This window comes from Homo sapiens, chromosome 5, assembly GCF_000001405.40.
Source record: "Homo sapiens chromosome 5, GRCh38.p14 Primary Assembly".
In the NCBI taxonomy this organism is placed as follows: Eukaryota; Metazoa; Chordata; class Mammalia; order Primates; family Hominidae; genus Homo; species Homo sapiens.
Genome location: NC_000005.10, coordinates 552,444 through 568,307, shown reverse-complemented (window position 1 = coordinate 568,307; position 15,864 = coordinate 552,444). Strand labels below are relative to the sequence as shown.

The 15,864-nt window shown below is 60.5% G+C and overlaps 1 long non-coding RNA gene across 1 annotated transcript, besides 2 other annotated features; it reads left to right on the top strand.

Moving 5' to 3' along the window:
- Positions 7,228-7,397: an enhancer, noted in NCBI's record as "experimental_86175 CRE fragment used in MPRA reporter constructs". NCBI's record gives its function as "activates a minimal promoter by MPRAs in K562 erythroleukemia cells, with activity observed for the introgressed 5:561111 variant allele {active_cell/tissue: K562}" and the evidence as "EXISTENCE:reporter gene assay evidence [ECO:0000049][PMID:34662402]".
- Positions 11,423-11,923: an enhancer, noted in NCBI's record as "H3K4me1 hESC enhancer chr5:556500-557000 (GRCh37/hg19 assembly coordinates)". NCBI's record gives its function as "activates a minimal SCP1, AML or CMV promoter by ChIP-STARR-seq in primed H9 embryonic stem cells {active_cell/tissue: H9 hESC(primed)}" and the evidence as "EXISTENCE:reporter gene assay evidence [ECO:0000049][PMID:30033119]".
- On the top strand, positions 11,921-13,247 carry LOC105374606 (uncharacterized). Its single transcript, XR_925669.2, has 3 exons — positions 11,921-12,523; positions 12,618-12,668; positions 13,067-13,247. It is a non-coding gene; the product is annotated as an uncharacterized LOC105374606 (long non-coding RNA).

Sequence of the window (15,864 nt, the reverse complement as noted above, 5' to 3'; positions counted from 1 at the left end):
GCTCTGCTGTGAGTGCAGGATGGTGGGGCTTGCCCGAGTACAGCTCTCTCGACCCCGAAAGACAGGCGGAAGACCCAGGGGGAAAAGGCCCCAGGAACCCCTGAACCATTGCTACGGGCGTGGCTGTTCAGACAACAGCAACCGCGGGAGGGGAGCGTAGGGCTCTGCCTGCAGCCACGCTCTCTCCGGGATGTACTCTCCAGGGGTCCAGCAGGGCTGCAGAGGCCTCCTGGCTGCTGGCGGAAGATAGCTGCAGCAACCTCGCTCCCAGGCCCCTCAGAGAGGCAGCCCCTCAGCCACAGGCGAGTGTTGCAGGGGTGCAGGCCCACACGGGCGGCAGCTGGAGGGCAGGTGGGCTGGGCAGGCACTGGTGCTGTCTCCTGGCTTCCCTGAGCCATGGAGCCATGTCCTGCCTCCTGCTAGCGGCCGTGGGGGCCATGGGTTCCTGTTTATGGCCTGTTGTGTGTGCGAGGGTCACTAGCAGCTGGGGTCGCTGGACGTGTGAGCCTTGGACCTGAGTAGATCCTGCCCAGCTCAAGGGGCATCACCGATTCCCGTCCTCAGTGTGGGAGCCTCCACACCACGCTGCACACTGCTCTTGGTGCCAGCAGGTCTGAATTGTGGGTATTCTATGGTGTCTCGTGGGTTTTACGTTTTAGTTTGCATCTTCCCATCACTAATGAACCCATTCTTGTCTTTACGGATGCTCCTGTGACTTGCCAGCTTGAGTCTTCCGTCCACTGCTCTCTCTCTCTCTTGTTCTGGGCATTCTCTGCATGGCCTGGGTGTTCATTCTCATCTTTACAGATGTTCCTGGGACTTGCCTGCTTGAGTCTTCTGTCCACTGCTCTCTCTCTCTCTCTCTTGTTCTGGGCATTCTCTGCATGGCCTGGGTGTTCATTCTTAGATTTTAAAATGTTTTCCAATATGATGAGTCTGAAGTGGTGGCTCATTAAGTGAGTTTGGCAGTTTATTATGGGGTTTTCCGTTAGACACCAAAACCAGAGAGAATACGATTGTGACCCCGAAGACCCTTCACTTCCCATTGGGATCTCCAGGCCCGTTCTATTTTCCCCATTGTCTCTAGTCTCTCTCCCTCCCTGTTTTGTGCCACTGGCTGTGACGATGATGGGGACGCCTGTCTCATGTCCCCATGGACTGAGGCGCTGCTTTATCGCGTGACGTCACCCACTCTCCCGCCCCTCGGCAGGCTCTTCTCTGTGGTTTCACCCGGGGCTGTTTCCTTCAGCCTAAGAATGCCCTGGTTATGTCTTGTGGTGCAGATCTGCCTTGGTTTCTCCAAAAATGCCTTCACTTTTCCTTCGTGTCTGGGGTGCTTCTGTGAGCACAGGACTGCGGGCTGGCTTTACTTCTTCTTCCTGTCTGGGGTGCTTCTGTGAGCACAGACTCGGGGCTGGCAGCTTTCTCTCCTTTCACCACTGCTGAGATGCCATTCAATCTTCTTTTGGCTCCCATGGTTTCACTGAAAGTCAGCTGTGAAACCTTTGTTGTTTCTTTGAAGATAAGTTCCAAAAATTATTTATAAATGTAATACAATTCCAATCAGAATCCCAATAGGATTTTTAAAAATAGAAATGAACAGGCTGTCCTGAATTTTACAAGGAGGTATAAACGATCAATAATGGCCAGGATGAGTGTGGTGAAGACCACAGCAGATGCCAGGATTTATTATCAACCATTTATTAAGACAGCATTACATTGGCTCAGGAATGGGCAAACAACCTTATATCCTTCTTCAAACAAAAAATATGGGTTGCTTGTCTTTTTCATATTGATTTACAGAGTTTTGTTTTTCTGGATACAATTTTTTGTAAGTTCTATGACTGGCAAATGCCTTCTAGTCAAGATCTTTTTTTCTCTCATTTTTACAGTATGCTTTCTTAAAGAGAAGTGTTGAAAACTGGAAACTATTTCACTGTTAGACCTATCCTTTCAGTTTTTAACTTTTATTGATGGTATTTTTCAGCGATTCCTCCTCCCCTGGAGACTACGTGGGTGATATTTAGTTATTGTCTTAGCAAACTTGTATGCTTTTAGTCAGCGAATTATAAGCTATTGGGTAATCTTTAAAGTATGTGAAATAAAGCCTCATCCTGGGAGGGGTCGCCTTGTTGCCTAAGGGCTCCTGGCCCAGCTCTGCTAGAGTAAGAGCTCAGTGTCTTGTTATCAGGGACAGAGAGGACCCTCCAGTCACACACTGCACCTCGGTGACTCGGGTCACAGAGGTGGCCCAGGGCTGTCCCCTCACCTGTAAAATAGTGCAGGAGCAGCACCTGCTTCACCGGGCATGCTGCAGGCAAGCGGACCTGGCACTCTGGGAGCCAAGCCCTGCACACGGGGCGCCCTCTGTTGTTGTTCTTCTTGTACGGGGCAGGCACACAAGAGTCTCGAGTCCTCCAACCCAGCCCGGGGCTGCTGGGGCCACATGGAAATGCGGCTGCGCCCCTCTGCGGGGGCCTGTGTCGGCGCCGTCCCCTCAGCTGAACCCCCCTGCGGGGGCCTGTGTCGGCGCCGTCCCCTCAGCCGCGCCCCTCTGCGGGGGCCTGTGTCGTCGCCGTCCCCTGAGCTGAACCCCTCTGCGGGGGCCTGTGTCGTCGCCGTCCCCTGAGCTGAACCCCTCTGCGGGGGCCTGTGTCGTCGCCGTCCCCTGAGCTGAACCCCTCTGCGGGGGCCTGTGTCGTCGCCGTCCCCTGAGCTGAACCCCTCTGCGGGGGCCTGTGTCGGCGCCGTCCCGTCAGCCGCGCCCCTCTGCGGGGGCCTGTGTCGTCGCCGTCCCGTCAGCCGAGCCCCTCTGCGGGGAGCCTGTGTCGTCGCCGTCCCCTGAGCTGAACCCCTCTGCGGGGGCCTGTGTCGTCGCCGTCCCGTCAGCCGAGCCCCTCTGCGGGGGCCTGTGTCGTCGCCGTCCCCTGAGCCGCGCCCCTCTGCGGGGAGCCTGTGTCGGCGCCGTCCCCTCAGCTGAACCCCTCTGCGGGGGCCTGTGTCGTCGCCGTCCCGTCAGCCGCGCCCCTCTGCGGGGGCCTGTGTCGTCGCCGTCCCGTCAGCCGAGCCCCTCTGCGGGGAGCCTGTGTCGTCGCCGTCCCCTGAGCTGAACCCCTCTGCGGGGGCCTGTGTCGTCGCCGTCCCGTCAGCCGAGCCCCTCTGCGGGGGCCTGTGTCGTCGCCGTCCCCTGAGCCGCGCCCCTCTGCGGGGAGCCTGTGTCGGCGCCGTCCCGTCAGCTGAACCCCTCTGCGGGGGCCTGTGTCGGCGCCGTCCCGTCAGCTGAACCCCTCTGCGGGGGCCTGTGTCGGCGCCGTCCCGTCAGCTGAACCCCTCTGCGGGGGCCTGTGTCGGCGCCGTCCCCTGAGCTGAACCCCTCTGCGGGGGCCTGTGTCGTCGCCGTCCCCTGAGCTGAACCCCTCTGCGGGGGCCTGTGTCGTCGCCGTCCCCTGAGCTGAACCCCTCTGCGGGGGCCTGTGTCGTCGCCGTCCCCTGAGCTGAACCCCTCTGCGGGGGCCTGTGTCGGCGCCGTCCCGTCAGCTGCGCCCCTCTGCGGGGGCCTGTGTCGGCGCCGTCCCCTGAGCTGAGCCCCTCTGCGGGGGCCTGTGTCGTCGCCGTCCCCTGAGCTGAGCCCCTCTGCGGGGGCCTGTGTCGTCGCCGTCCCCTGAGCTGAGCCCCTCTGCGGGGGCCTGTGTCGGCGCCGTCCCCTGAGCTGAGCCCCTCTGCGGGGGCCTGTGTCGGCGCCGTCCCCTGAGCTGAACCCCTCTGCGGGGGCCTGTGTCGGCGCCGTCCCCTGAGCTGAGCCCCTCTGCGGGGGCCTGTGTCGGCGCCGTCCCCTGAGCTGAACCCCTCTGCGGGGGCCTGTGTCGGCGCCGTCCCCTGAGCTGAGCCCCTCTGCGGGGGCCTGTGTCGGCGCCGTCCCCTGAGCTGAACCCCTCTGCGGGGGCCTGTGTCGGCGCCGTCCCCTGAGCTGAGCCCCTCTGCGGGGGCCTGTGTCGGCGCCGTCCCCTGAGCTGAACCCCTCTGCGGGGGCCTGTGTCGTCGCCGTCCCCTGAGCTGAGCCCCTCTGCGGGGGCCTGTGTCGGCGCTGTCCCCTGAGCTGAGCCCCTCTGCGGGGGCCTGTGTCGGCGCCGTCCCGTCAGCTGAGCCCCTCTGCGGGGGCCTGTGTCGGCGCCGTCCCCTGAGCTGAACCCCTCTGCGGGGGCCTGTGTCGTCGCCGTCCCCTGAGCTGAACCCCTCTGCGGGGGCCTGTGTCGGCGCCGTCCCCTGAGCTGAACCCCTCTGCGGGGGCCTGTGTCGGCGCCGTCCCCTGAGCTGAACCCCTCTGCGGGGGCCTGTGTCGGCGCCGTCCCCTGAGCTGAACCCCTCTGCGGGGGCCTGTGTCGGCGCCGTCCCCTGAGCTGAGCCCCTCTGCGGGGGCCTGTGTCGGCGCTGTCCCCTGAGCTGAGCCCCTCTGCGGGGGCCTGTGTCGGCGCCGTCCCGTCAGCTGAACCCCTCTGCGGGGGCCTGTGTCGGCGCCGTCCCCTGAGCTGAGCCCCTCTGCGGGGGCCTGTGTCGGCGCCGTCCCCTGAGCTGAACCCCTCTGCGGGGGCCTGTGTCGGCGCCGTCCCCTGAGCTGAACCCCTCTGCGGGGGCCTGTGTCGGCGCCGTCCCCTGAGCTGAGCCCCTCTGCGGGGGCCTGTGTCGGCGCCGTCCCCTGAGCTGAACCCCTCTGCGGGGGCCTGTGTCGGCGCCGTCCCGTCAGCTGCGCCCCTCTGCGGGGGCCTGTGTCGGCGCCGTCCCGTCAGCTGCGCCCCTCTGCGGGGGCCTGTGTCGTCGCCGTCCCCTGAGCTGAACCCCTCTGCGGGGGCCTGTGTTGTCGCCGTTCCCTGAGCTGAACCCCTCTGCGGGGGCCTGTGTCGGCGCCGTCCCGTCAGCTGCGCCCCTCTGCGGGGGCCTGTGTCGGCGCCGTCCCGTCAGCTGCGCCCCTCTGCGGGGGCCTGTGTTGTCGCCGTCCCCTGAGCTGAACCCCTCTGCGGGGGCCTGTGTCGGCGCCGTCCCCTGAGCTGAACCCCTCTGCGGGGAGCCTGTGTTGTCGCCCTCCCCTGAGCTGAACCCCTCTGCGGGGGCCTGTGTCGTCGCCGTCCCCTGAGCTGAACCCCTCTGCGGGGGCCTGTGTCGTCGCCGTCCCCTGAGCTGAACCCCTCTGCGGGGGCCTGTGTTGTCGCCGTTCCCTGAGCTGAACCCCTCTGCGGGGGCCTGTGTCGGCGCCGTCCCGTCAGCTGCGCCCCTCTGCGGGGGCCTGTGTCGGCGCCGTCCCGTCAGCTGCGCCCCTCTGCGGGGGCCTGTGTTGTCGCCGTCCCCTGAGCTGAACCCCTCTGCGGGGAGCCTGTGTTGTCGCCCTCCCCTGAGCTGAACCCCTCTGCGGGGGCCTGTGTCGTCGCCGTCCCCTGAGCTGAACCCCTCTGCGGGGGCCTGTGTCGTCGCCGTCCCCTGAGCTGAACCCCTCTGCGGGGGCCTGTGTTGTCGCCGTTCCCTGAGCTGAACCCCTCTGCGGGGGCCTGTGTCGGCGCCGTCCCGTCAGCTGCGCCCCTCTGCGGGGGCCTGTGTCGGCGCCGTCCCGTCAGCTGCGCCCCTCTGCGGGGGCCTGTGTTGTCGCCGTCCCCTGAGCTGAACCCCTCTGCGGGGAGCCTGTGTTGTCGCCCTCCCCTGAGCTGAACCCCTCTGCGGGGGCCTGTGTCGTCGCCGTCCCCTGAGCTGAACCCCTCTGCGGGGGCCTGTGTCGTCGCCGTCCCCTGAGCTGAACCCCTCTGCGGGGGCCTGTGTTGTCGCCGTTCCCTGAGCTGAACCCCTCTGCGGGGGCCTGTGTCGGCGCCGTCCCGTCAGCTGCGCCCCTCTGCGGGGGCCTGTGTCGGCGCCGTCCCGTCAGCTGCGCCCCTCTGCGGGGGCCTGTGTCGTCGCCGTCCCCTGAGCTGAACCCCTCTGCGGGGGCCTGTGTTGTCGCCGTTCCCTGAGCTGAACCCCTCTGCGGGGGCCTGTGTCGGCGCCGTCCCGTCAGCTGCGCCCCTCTGCGGGGGCCTGTGTCGGCGCCGTCCCGTCAGCTGCGCCCCTCTGCGGGGGCCTGTGTCGTCGCCGTCCCCTGAGCTGAGCCCCTCTGCGGGGGCCTGTGTTGTCGCCCTCCCGTCAGCTGCGCCCCTCTGCGGGGGCCTGTGTCGGCGCCGTCCCCTGAGCTGAGCCCCTCTGCGGGGGCCTGTGTCGGCGCCGTCCCCTGAGCTGAACCCCTCTGCGGGGGCCTGTGTCGTCGCCGTCCCCTGAGCTGAACCCCTCTGCGGGGGCCTGTGTCGTCGCCGTCCCCTGAGCTGAACCCCTCTGCGGGGGCCTGTGTCGGCGCCGTCCCCTGAGCTGAGCCCCTCTGCGGGGGCCTGTGTCGGCGCCGTCCCCTGAGCTGAACCCCTCTGCGGGGGCCTGTGTCGGCGCCGTCCCGTCAGCTGCGCCCCTCTGCGGGGGCCTGTGTTGTCGCCCTCCCGTCAGCTGAGCCCCTCTGCGGGGGCCTGTGTCGGCGCCGTCCCGTCAGCTGCGCCCCTCTGCGGGGGCCTGTGTTGGTGCTGTCCGGTCGTCCGTGTTGGGAGGGATCTGGTGCCCACCAGCGGTGCATATGCAGCCTGGCACCAGCGGCCGGGGCATCTCCACCCTGCCCCGCCTGCCTGGTGTTCTGGCCTCTCAGGATCCCGCACACCCGGGCTCTCCTCCATCTGGGGGAGGACTCCCTCCTGGGGACTGGTCTACAGGACCTCTGGGCAGCTGGTACATTTTCTTCACAGCGCCAGAACACTGAGCGCAAGGGTTTGCTTCCCTCCTGTCTTTCCCTTTCAACCCGCTAAAGGCAAACAGCACAGCCACAGCCGTAATGCTGGAAGGGACTCCAAGGACCACCATCTTGCTGATGGGGAAACTGAGGCTCTGAGTCTGCTCCCCCAGACCACAGAGGGGAAGAACTGGGGTTCAAGAACAGGGCTTCCGTCCCCCGGTTTGGGGACCCCCTCTGAGGACTTATGCTCATGCTGCCTTTCTTCCGGGGTCACTCAGAGACCCTGGACCTACAGCTGGGATGGCTTTCTCCCCTTTCTGGAACCTCACAGTTGAGCAGACAATACATTTTTTTCAAAGAATTATTGTTGTACCTTTTTAAAAGAGCCTGGTGAAAACAAAAATGAATAATATCCCTTAAACAGAGGTTTGGGCAAGAAGGAAACACACCTTCCACACCCAGGGTTTATGGAAGACACGTCGCCATTTGCCCGGGCCACACGACTCCTCTCCAGGCTGCATGCGCTGCGGGGCCAGCCGGGGGCCGCTCCACACAGACCTCGAGTTTCCACCACAGGAAGGTGCAGGACGCAGGCAGAGGCCGAGAGACTGGAACATCAACCGAAGCAGCAGCTCATGTCACAATGGAAACCTGGACAGCTGACAGGTCAGCCAAGGATGGAGGAATGGCTAAATAAGCCCAGTGCCTTCCAGAATGTTCCTGCCTCAGAAGATTATACAGCCAGTGAGGTACATGGATGATAGACAAACATACAGATGGAGAGACATAGAGATATAGAAAGGGAGAGAGAGGTAGATATAGGTAAAGATGAAGATACAGGTGATTCATGGATACAGAAATTGAGACGGATGATAGATGGATGGGTAAATGGACAGATGAATAGATGATAGATGGACAGACAGGAGGGAAATTGGTTGGGAGATGATCAGATAAGTGGTCGATAGAGGGAGGTAAACAGACAGATGACAGACATGGACAGATTGATACAGACAGGTGATAGATGATAGCTGATTGATAGAAAGTTGGGGACAGAGAGAGAGGGCTGGACACAGATGGCAGGCAGCTCTGGGTGAGGCCTTGCCGGGCAGACCCCAGCGTGGGCGCTGCCTCCCAGGGAGACCATAGACATGATCCATGAGAGTGCGGTGACCCTTCAAGGATGTTCACAGTCTTAATAGCTGCATGAGAAAATGAGAAGACCGTGTTAATAAGCAAAACAAGCAGCTTAAGAAGCTGGACAGGCCAGGTGCGGTGGCTCAGGCCTGTAATCCCAGCACTTTGGGAGGCCAAGGCGGGCGGATCAAGAGGTCAGGAGATTGAGACCATCCTGGCCAACATGGTGAAACCCCGTCTGTACTAAAAATACAAAAATTAGCTGGGTATGGTGGCGCATATCTGTAGTCCCAGCTACTCAGGAGGCTGAGGTAGGAGAATCGCTTGAACCTGGGAGGCAGAGGTTGCAGTGAGCCAAGATCGCGCCATTGCACTGCAGACTGGGCGACAGAGTGAGACACTGTCTCAAAAAAAAAAGAAGCTGGACAAGGCTGGGCATGATGGCTCACACCTGGAATCCCAGCACCTTAGGAGGCCAGGGTGGGAGGATCATTTGAGGCCAGGAGTTTAAGACCAGTCTGAGCAACATGGCAAAACCCTGTCTCTACAAAATAAATAATAAGAAGAATTAGCCAGGCATGGTGGCATGTGCCTGTGGTCCCAGCTACTGGGGAGGCTGAGGTGGGACAATGGCTTGAGCTCAGGGTGGTTGAGGCTGCAGTGAGCTGAGATTGCACCACGGCACTCCAGCCTGGGTGACAGAGTGAGACCCTGTCTCAAAAAAAAAAAAAAAAAAAAGGCAAAGGAAAGGAAATGCAAACCCACAGAGGAGTAATAAACATTCTACCAATTAAAATGCACCATGTGGCAGCCCCACAGAGGAAGAGATCTCTGTCTGCTGTGTTCCTTGAGCCTCAGGATGGTGAGAATCAATGGAGCCTTGTGGAGCCTTGCTGGTTTTTGAAATAATGAAACAGACAACACGACACGCTGGCACGAAAAAAGAGAAGCACAAATGGTTGATGTTGGAAACAGAAATGGGAGCAAAGGGACCCGGCGGAAACTCGGTATCTCCGTGTGCGTGTCCCGCGTGCATAACGCATGTACAGATGCACACATACAAAACGAACAATTTCCTCGCAAAACATAAGCTGTCAATCAAGGAGACGTGAAATCCGAACAGTTTTATAACCACCGAAGAACGGGATCCAGGATTAAAAACCTGCCACCCTCCAAGGAAACAAAGCCCCTCCTAAATTGTGCTGATGGCTGGGGCAGCCCATCCTCCGTGAGGACCACCAGAAAAGGGGCTGGAAAGGCAAAAGCACCTGCTCAGCGCCCCAGGCGGCGGCCCATCCTCCGTGAGGACCACAGGTAAAGGGGCTGGAAAGGCAAAAGCACCTGCTCAGCGCCCCGGGCGGCGGCCCATCCTCCGTGAGGACCACCAGAAAAGGGGCTGGAAAGGCAAAAGCAGTGGCTCAGCGCCCCAGGAGGCGGCCCATCCTCCGTGAGGACCATCAGAAAAGGGGCTGGAAAGGCAAAAGCACCTCCTCAGCGCCCCAGGAGGCGGCCCATCCTCCGTGAGGACCATCAGAAAAGGGGCTGGAAAGGCAAAAGCACCTGCTCAGCGCCCCGGGAGGCGGCCCATCCTCCGTGAGGACCATCAGAAAAGGGGCTGGAAAGGCAAAAGCACCTGCTCAGCGCCCCGGGAGGCGGCCCATCCTCCGTGAGGACCATCAGAAAAGGGGCTGGAAAGGCAAAAGCACCGCTCAGGGCCCCAGGCGCTGGAGAAAACAGACTAGAGGTGAAGCTGCTTCCAGGCTGCCCAACACTCAGCACCTCTGAGGGCCTTTGAGTCCTTGGTCCCTGACTCACACCCTTAAAGTGGCAGGAGGACCAGAGAGGCCTGCCCTCTCTGGGACCCAGGCCGCAGGGATCGCCTCCATCCTACCCAGACCGGGCCTCATGGCTCAGTGTGCCCCGGGGTCCAGCAGCAACGGTGTCCCAGGAGCTGTGGGAAGTGCAGAGTCTCAGGCCCACCTGGCCCTGCTGGGACGGAGACTGCATTTAAACAAGATCCCTGGGGTTCAAGGCATACCGTGTTTGATTATCACTGGATTTAGGGGTCTGCCCAGCCCATTCCCTGCCAGATGGAGAGGAAATTCTTTTCCAAGGAAGGTAAAATCACCCAGACCTCTCAAACCAACCCCCATTTACTACAGAAAGGGCCCTTGGGACTCCTGCACTTAGCATTGTGAGTGGCAATGCGGGTTGTCCAAGCTGTGTGGTGGTCCGGGCAGTGTGGTGGTCCAGGCATGATGAGTGGTCCAGGTAGGGTGGTGGTGAGTGGTCAGGGCAGTGTGGTGGTCTAAGCAGTGTGTGGCCTAGGTAGGGTGAGTGCTCCAGGCAGTGTGGTGGTCTGGGCAGGGTGAGTAGTCTAGGCAGTGTGGTGATCCGGGCAGTGTGAGTGCTCCAGGCAGTGTGGTGGTCTGGGCAGGGTGAGTAGTCTAGGCAGTGTGGTGATCCGGGCAGTGTGAGTGCTCCAGGCAGTGTGGTGGTCCGGGTAGGGTGGTAGTCTTAACAGGGTGAGTGGTCCGGGCAGTGTGGTGGTCCGGGCAGTGTGGTGGTCCGGGCAGGGTGAGTGGTCCGGACAGTGTGGTGGTTCGGGCAGTGTGAATGCTCCAGGCAGTGTGGTGGTCCGGGCAGGGTGAGTGGTCCGGACAGTGTGGTGGTTCGGGCAGTGTGAGTGCTCCAGGCAGTGTGGTGGTCTGGGCAGGGTGAGTAGTCTAGGCAGTGTGGTGATCCGGGCAGTGTGAGTGCTCCAGGCAGTGTGGTGGTCCGGGTAGGGTGGTAGTCTTAACAGGGTGAGTGGTCCGGGCAGTGTGGTGGTCCGGGCAGTGTGGTGGTCCGGGCAGGGTGAGTGGTCCGGACAGTGTGGTGGTTCGGGCAGTGTGGTGGTCTGGGCAGTGTGGTGGTCCAGGCAGGGTGAGTGGTCCGGGCAGTGTGGTGGTCCGGGCAGTGTGGTGGTCTGCGTAGGGTGTTGGTCCCAGTAGGGTGGTGAGCCTGGCAGGGTGAGTGATCTGAACAGTGTTTCGTCTGGGGCAGAGGTAAAGGTGCTGGCAGAGACATCAAGCTCCGTCCATTTTCCCGGCAGTGCTGTTGAGTGTGGCTGGAGGATCCGAGGGTGTGGTCTGAGCGACCTCAGTGGGGCCTTGATTGCTGGGTGTTGTCCAGAAACCCGCCGCTCCTCCCACTGGCCTTGACCTTGGCTGGGCTGGGGGTTGCTGGGCGGCAGGGGCAGGCAGCCACCTCTGCACACAGGGCCACCCTCGCCACTGCTCTCCCCATTGGATTCTGCAGAGCCGGGGACTTCACGGCCCTGACCGCTGCCCTGTATCTCGGTGACGTGATGTGCTCGTGTTGGTTTTTCCTGTCTTTTTTTAGACTTAATCAGAAATAAGGTAGAAGGTCAGAGTCCACAGCAAAGAGGCACAGAGGGGAACGGCAGCTCCTTGGGTCCCACGGGGCTGTGCCTGCTCCTTGGTGGGGACACTGGAGGCCCAGAGTGGCACAGACCCTGTCTTCACTGAGGGGAGAAAGAGGCAGCCCCGGGGCATGAGAGCCACCCCTGCTGATGCTGCCCCGGGCCCACAAGGGCCAAGCTCCAGGAACATGGAAGTCCTGCCCTGGGCAGCACAGCCTCCAGATTCCAAGAACCCAGCCTGGCACCCCAGGCTGGGCACAGCAAGGAGAGAGACTTCGACACTCTGCATTAAGATGGTAGCTCGTGGCCGGCGCGGTGGCTCATCCCTGTAATCCCAGCACTTTGGGAGGCCGAGGCGGGTGGATCACAAGGTCAGGAATCAAGACCATCTGGTTAACACCATGAAACCCTGTCTCTTAAAAATATGAAAACTTAGCCGGGCGTGGTGGCAGGCGCCTGTAGTCCCAGCTACTGGGGGGAGGCCGAGGCAGGAGAATGGCGTGAACCTGGGAGGCGGAGCTTGCAGTGAGCCGAGATCACATCACTGCACTCCAGCCTGCGCCACAGAGCAAAACTCCGTCACACACACACAAAAAAATGGTAGCTCCTGAGCCAACACTTTTCCGCTCCCCCACCCGCTGCGTCTCAGCATTCCTTAGGCTCTCCCCTTGGGAGACTCACATGTATGGGGCGGGGGAGCGGGGGTTTCCTAGGCCCTGACTCAGCTAGAGCGTCTGGCTGACCCGTCATTGTCCAGGGAAGCCATGGATCTGGTGGCCGCAGCCCAGCGCCGTCCTCACCACCCAGGCCTGCCTGGAGCCCAGTGGCTGTCAGGGCAGCCGAGACCAGAAGCGCAGGTGGAGCCAAGGCCCCGCTGCAGTCCGCAGAGTTGCAACTCTGGGAGCTGAGCCCTCACAAGCCTTGCTTTTCACCTCCTCCCAGTGCTACCAGCCAGACCCCGAGGGCCCGGGACCCTCCATGTACCCATCCACACTTCTCGGCCCACCCCTCCCTGACAGCCCCGGCACCCCGGGAGGGAGCAGGTGCGTCCCGCTTCGGGCCCTCTGAACCCCCTCCATTTCGGGCTGTTTCAGACTTCGGCCTCTCTGAAGCTCCTCCATTTCTGGCTGCTTTTCACTGCCGTCTGCCTGCCTGTGTTCTTGTCTTCACGCCGGCCTTTGGTACGGGAGGGAGCCATCCACGGCCCACACTGCAGCTCCCGTGACCTCCGCACGGCCCCGTGCGGACACTCATCTGGATTTTGTTTGTGCTCAGGAGAGGCTCTGCATTGAACGACCTTGCACTGGGCCGGTTTCTTTTCTAAAGGTTCCAGAGGGCATGGCTGTCAACTTCCCGCTTGTGTCCCCGTCGGGTTCCAGGGCACAGAGGTTTATGCGGAGGGCTCGAGGGACTCACACCTGGGGGCAGAGTTGGGCAGCGGCGACGGGCACTCTGGAGCCCATCACCCCCTTGGTGTCGAGGCCCAGGGGCCTGATGTGCCCACTGCTGGCCAGTTTTTGGGTCGGGCCCCTCCCCCAGGGGGGTGCTGGGCTACCCTCCTGAGGGCAGAAGCAATTGTTAAGAGCCTCATCACTGTGGTGTCAGCCACTAGCCCTCCCCAGCTGTGGAACAGGGGTTGGTCCCCATGCGGAGGGGTCCTGGTCCTGGGCGGCCCCACCACACCCTGAACCGCCTGAGCTTCTGACTGCATGGAATATTCACAGGACTGCAGTGTGAGAAGGCAGCACCGCCCCGGCGCCCGCGAGGAAGCCGAACTGCTCATAAGTTAAGCAGCCCCAGCCAGGTCACGGGGCAAGGAAGCCGCCTGCGACCTCGGAAACCCCTGGTTCATCCCATGACCCACCCCCGTTCATCCGGTGACCCACCCCTCACCCCGGTTCATCCCGTGACCCACCCCCCCGTTCATCCCATGACCCAGCCCCCCACCCCGGTTCATCCCATGACCCAGCCCCCCACCCCGGTTCATCCCATGACCCACCCCCCACCCCGGTTCATCCCGTGACCCACCCCCCGTTCATCCCATGACCCAGCCCCCCACCCCGGTTTATCCCGTGACCCACCCCCTGTTCATCCCGTGACCCACCCCCCGTTCATCCCGTGACCCAGCCCCCAACCCCGTTCATCCCGTGACCCACCCCCAACCCCGGTTTAGCCCGTGACCCACCCCCCCCCCGTTCATCCCGTGACCCACCCCCCGGTTCATCCCGTGACCCAGCCCCCAACCCCGTTCATCCCGTGACCCAGACCCCACCCTGGTTTATCCCATGACCCACCCACGGTTCATCCTGTGACCCGCCCCCCGTTCATCCCGTGACCCACCCCCCACCCCTGGTTTATCCCGTGACCCACCCCCGGGTCATCCTGTGACCCAGACCCCACCCTGGTTTATCCCATGACCCGCCCACGGTTCATCCTGTGACCCGCCCCCCGTTCATCCCGTGACCCAGCCCCCCACCCCTGGTTTATCCCGTGACCCACCCCCGGGTCATCCTGTGACCCAGACCCCACCCCTGGTTTATCCCGTGACCCACCCTCGGGTCATCCCGTGACCCAGACCCCACGCCTGGTTTATCCCGTGACCCACCCGCAGCACCAGCACCTCAGTGCTGCTTTTGTATTTATAGTCGCCTTGCTGTATGTTGAGCGTAATTTTACAATCTGCCCAAAATTCCTTTGAAGAGCAGATAGGTGTGTACACCCTAAATGAATAAAATACAGTGCGATTTGGTGAAAGGTAACGGCTCGTTTATTTTCCTTGCCATAAAAATGCTACAATCACCCTGAAGGTGAACCTGGCAAGCGGCATAGGGGCCAGGGCCTCACTCGGCTCTCCTGTGCACCCCGCCCCGGTGTGATGTTTGGAGATTTGCATACGAGGCTCTCAGCCAGGAAGGAAATGGCCAGGAATCCCAGAACGCGGCACTGATTTTCCCCATGTTATCTGACTCCTGATATTCCCCGAACTGTGTGACCACTGCCTGTAGTTCAGTCTGTAATCAAATACTTTGTAAAGACTGTACAAGTGATCCCAGACCCAAAAGGAAACGTCAGAAATGCGAGGCTGTAGGCTTGTTAGAGATGGGAGGCTGTTAGGTTTGTTAGAGAAGGGAGGCTGTAGGCTTGTTAGAGATGGGAGGCTGTTAGGTTTGTTAGAGAAGGGAGGCTGTAGGTTTGTTAGAGATGGGAGGCCGTAGGTTTGTTAGAGATGGGAGGCTGTAGGCTTGTTAGAGATGGGAGGCTGTAGGCTTGTTAGAGATGGGAGGCTGTAGGTTTGTTAGAGATGGGAGGCTGTTAGGTTTGTTAGAGATGGGAGGCTGTAGGTTTGTTAGAGATGGGAGGCTGTTAGGTTTGTTAGAGATGGGAGGCTGTAGGTTTGTTAGAGATGGGAGGCTGTTAGGTTTGTTAGAGAAGGGAGGCTGTAGGTTTGTTAGAGATGGGAGGCTGTTAGGTTTGTTAGAGATGGGAGGCTGTAGGTTTGTTAGAGATGGGAGGCTGTAGGCTTGTTAGAGATGGGAGGCTGTTAGGTTTGTTAGAGATGGGAGGCTGTTAGGTTTATTAGAGATGGGAGGCTGTTAGGTTTGTTAGAGAAGGGAGGCTGTAGGTTTGTTAGAGATGGGAGGCTGTTAGGTTTGTTAGAGATGGGAGGCTGTAGGCTTGTTAGAGATGGGAGGCTGTAGGCTTGTTAGAGATGGGAGGCTGTAGGCTTGTTAGAGATGGGAGGCTGTTAGGTTTGTTAGAGATGGGAGGCTGTTAGGTTTATTAGAGATGGGAGGCTGTTAGGTTTGTTAGAGAAGGGAGGCTGTAGGTTTGTTAGAGATGGGAGGTTGTTAGGTTTGTTAGAGATGGGAGGCTGTAGGTTTGTTAGAGATGGGAGGCTGTAGGCTTGTTAGAGATGGGAGGCTGTTAGGTTTGTTAGAGATGGGAGGCTGTTAGGTTTATTAGAGATGGGAGGCTGTTAGGTTTGTTAGAGAAGGGAGGCTGTAGGTTTGTTAGAGATGGGAGGCTGTTAGGTTTGTTAGAGATGGGAGGCTGTTAGGTTTATTAGAGATGGGAGGCTGTTAGGTTTGTTAGAGAAGGGAGGCTGTAGGTTTGTTAGAGATGGGAGGCTGTTAGGTTTGTTAGAGATGGGAGGCTGTAGGTTTGTTAGAGATGGGAGGCTGTAGGTTTGTTAGAGATGGGAGGCTGTAGGCTTGTTAGAGATGGGAGGCTGTTAGGTTTGTTAGAGATGGGAGGCTGTTAGGTTTATTAGAGATGGGAGGCTGTTAGGTTTGTTAGAGAAGGGAGGCTGTAGGTTTGTTAGAGATGGGAGGCTGTTAGGTTTGTTAGAGATGGGAGGCTGTAGGTTTGTTAGAGATGGGAGGCTGTAGGCTTGTTAGAGATGGGAGGCTGTTAGGTTTGTTAGAGATGGGAGGCTGTTAGGTTTATTAGAGATGGGAGGCTGTTAGGTTTGTTAGAGAAGGGAGGCTGTAGGTTTGTTAGAGATGGGAGGCTGTTAGGTTTG